Below are 4,008 nucleotides of genomic sequence, written 5' to 3'. Positions count from 1 at the left end.
GAAAGAATATACTTTTTTGTGTGCTTACACTAGTATTTCTTTAGATAGATCCCCTGGAATGACAATTACTGGCTTAAAGGAAGATATGTTTAACACTTTGACACTATTGACAAGTTTCTTTCCAATAAGGGTGTAACATATAGTCTATGAGAATGTCCATTTTCTCAATATCTTGCCAGCATAATGATGGGTCAAAACAATATTATTGTTTTAAAAACTGTATTTCCACAATTTTTTGTGAGGCTCAGCATTTATTCATGTTTTTAAGTGGACAGCTGTATTTCTTCTGTAAGTTATCTATTCCTGATCTCTGTGCATTTTTCTGCTATGATGTGTGTCTTATATATATATTGATTTATAGTTATTTTCTGTATATTCTGGATATTGAGACTTTTGTGTGTTGTATGTTGCAAATAATGTTTTTAGTACTTCTTTTTGAATTTTGTTTATGATTTATTTTTTATTAAAAGAATTTAAATTTTCAGCTGCTTTAATAGTTTCTGGGGTTTTATATCTCCAATACTTACATTGTAAGAATATTGGAAAAATTTCATCTTATTATTTTCTAGTTGTATTTTTTGTTTAATACCTGAATCCATAAGGAATTTGCATTTGTGTACAGTGCTTGATAGAGATTTTGTTTTATTTTTAAAAATTGACAACTTTTTCAACACTATTCACTAAATGTTATGTCCATACCCCTATTTTGAAACATTGCAGTTAACATACATCATAGATTTCTAGTCTGTTACATTGATGTAGTTCACTCCTATGCCATTTCTACACTATCTTAATATTTGTCATTTTAATTTTTAAATTTATTTTAATTTTTTAAAACATCAGGAAAGGTAAGTCTTTACCCTCCTCCATTATTCTTTCCCTTAAAAAGTTTAAGAAAGTTTTCTTAGATATTCTTATTTTCTTCTTCAGAAAAGTTTTAGAATTGACTCTCATTACGTTTTTTAAAATCGTGTTAAGACTACTATTGAAGGTTTGGGCATGTTGGCTCACGTCTGTAATACTAGCACTTTGGGAGGTGGAAGCAGGAGGATCACTTGAGCCCAGGAATTCAAGACCAGCCTGGCTACATAGTGAGACCTCATTTCTGTTAATAAAAAAAAAAAAAAAAAAAAAAAAAAAGATTTTTATTAAGACTCACTTGACTCTGTCAATTTATTTTGTAGAAATTAGTTTATTTAATCCTACCCAGGAATATGATATATTAGTCTATTTATTCAGATTTTCTCTTACATATTTCAATTAGGTTTTATAGTTTTCTTCAAATAGATTCTAGTATAATCCCTGTCAGGTTTACTGATAGGTGTTTCATAAGGTTTTGTTGCCCTTATCTATCTAACTCTCTATCTATCTATCTATCTATCTATCTATCTATCTATATAGATTTTTTTTTTTTTTTGAGACAGAGTCTCACTCTGTCACCCAGGCTGGAGTGCAGTGGCACAGTCTCGGCTCACTGCAACCTCTAAGCTCCAAATTCAAGCAATTCTTCTGCCTCAGCCTCCTGAACAGCTGGGATTACAGGCGCCTGCCACCGTGGCTGGCTAATTTTTGTATTTTTAGTAGAGATGGGATCACCATCTTGGCCAGGCTGGTCTTGAACTCCTGTCATCGTGATCCACCCACCTCGGCCTCCCAAAGTGCTGGGATTACAGGCGTGAGCCACTGCACCCGGCAAGATTTTTTAAATCTATTAAATTTTCAAATTTGTTATTACTTATGAAAAGGAATACTCCTAAAATTTACCTATTGCTACAGTGTAGTCACCTTTTTTAACTCATTTATTAATTTGAATAATCAAATAGTTGCTATCTAGATTTTTATTAAATAACTATTGAACACCCATTATGTGTCAAACGTTGGAGATATTGCCAGGTCTGTGCCCACAGAGACTTTGCATTCCAGTGTAGGAAAATGAGTCATAAACAAAGAAACAAATACATATTTTAGTGCTATGGAAGAAGTAAAACAGAATGATGTAACGAAGAGTGAAGAGGTCATACACAGGCGTATGACCAAGGAAGGCCTTTTTGAGGACAGGCTTGAGACTGAGGAGAAAGTGGACCCAGTCATGTCAAGAACTTTCTAGAAGAGAAGACAACTAACCCAAAGGCCCTGATGTTAGAAAGCATCTGGCAGTGCAAGGAACAGAAATTGGATCTAAGTGTGCAAGGGTGAGAGTTCAGATAAATAAATAGAAACCCAAGATAATAGAAGTCGGGTTAGGCCAGGGCAAGAATCTCAAATATTCCAAGTGCAGTTGGGAACTACTGAAAGTGCACAGTAGTGAAACAATCTGATTTATGCTTTAAAACTATTGCTCAGGCTGTGTGGAGAAACATCTTCAAGTAAACAAGAGTAGAAATAGGAGAGGTTGCGTTGCAGGAGTTAAGAGTGATGGTGGCTTGGCTGGATTGGCAGTACCTCAAACTATGAGGTAGACTGAATCAGACTCACTAATGAATTTAATGGAGAGGACTATTAGGCTTTTGGCTTGAATAACTGGGTGATTTGTGGTAATATTTGTTGAGATAACAAACACTGGAGAATGGTAGATCATCAAGGGAGAGGGAGGATCAAGGATTCTGTTTGGGAAATGTTTATTTTGAAATGCCTAGTTGACATCCATGTAAATATGTCAAATACATGCTTACATAGATGAATTTGTTGCTCAGGGGAACAATCAATCCTGGAGATATAAACCTGAAATTTATAAGCATGTAGTTAGAATTTAAAGCTGTAGGACTAGATGGGATAATGTAGGAAGATAGTAAAGTTAGAGAAGAAAGAGCGGCCAGGTGTCGTGGCTCATGTCTGTAATCCCAGCACTGTGGGAGGCCGAGGCGGGCAGATCATGAGGTCAAGAGATCAAGACCACCCTGGCCAAAATGGTTAAACCCTGTCTCTACTAAAAATACAAAAATTAGCTGGGTGTGATGGCATGTGCCTGTAGTCCCAGCTACTCAGGAGGTTGAGACAGGACAATTGCTTGAACCTGGGAGGCAGAGGTTGCAGTGAACCGAGATCAAGAGACTGCACTCCAGCATGGTGACAGAGTGAGAATTCAACTCAAAAAAAAAAGAAGAAGAAGAAGAGGAAGAAGAAGAAGAAGAAGAAGAAGAAGAAGAGGGAGAAGAAGAAACAGAAGAAGGAGAAGAAGAGGGAAAAGAAAGAGCTCATGACCAAACTCTGTGTCAATGTGGTGGTTAGATGTGAGGTAGAGAAGGAGGAGATAGCAAAACAGCTGGAGAAAATGGAAAAGTAACAGCGGGAAAGAGTGATGTCACAGAAGCCAAGTGAGGATGGAGATTTAAGAAGAGAGCTCCATCAAGAACTCCATCAAGAGCTGCTGAGAAGTTGGGAAAAAAGAAGGTGTAGTTGATGACCTTCACAAAACCAGCTTCAGTGAAATATTGGGGTGAAAGCCATGTTGAAATGGGTCGAGTAATATGGAAGATGAGGAAATGGAGACAACTAGAGTAGACAATTAACCCCTTAAAGAAGGTTTGTTGTAATGGGAACAAAGAAATAGAGTAGTAACAAAAGGGGATGAAGCGGGATCAGGGAATGATTTGCTCTTATTCAAAATATTTTAGATATCAGAGCTTGTATCTCTTCTGAGACGAGTCAATAACCCAGCAGAAAGGAAGAAATCAAAGGTGTAGGAGAGAGAAGAAAGCATGCATAAGCAAAATTGTTGAGGGAAGAGAAAGGATTAAACCCCAGGGCTTGAGTAGAGAGACTGATCTTTGATAGGATCAGAGACGTATCTTCTATTCAAAAGGGAGAGTAAATAGAAAATATAGGAAACTATATAGATGGATTTATAGATTTTTTTGTAGGAAATGGAGACATTTTTTAAACTGTGAAGGGTATTCATTTCAATTTACCATTTCTAGGTAAATGATAAAAAATCTCTGAAAATAATTACAAGATCACCTCTTCTTTTACAAATAAATGTCTTATTACATTGCTTACTACCTCCAGTCC

The sequence above is a fragment of the Homo sapiens genome, chromosome 5 (assembly GCF_000001405.40).
Source record: "Homo sapiens chromosome 5, GRCh38.p14 Primary Assembly".
In the NCBI taxonomy this organism is placed as follows: Eukaryota; Metazoa; Chordata; class Mammalia; order Primates; family Hominidae; genus Homo; species Homo sapiens.
The sequence above is the reverse complement of the archived record's forward strand: the minus strand, read 5'-3'. Positions refer to the sequence as shown.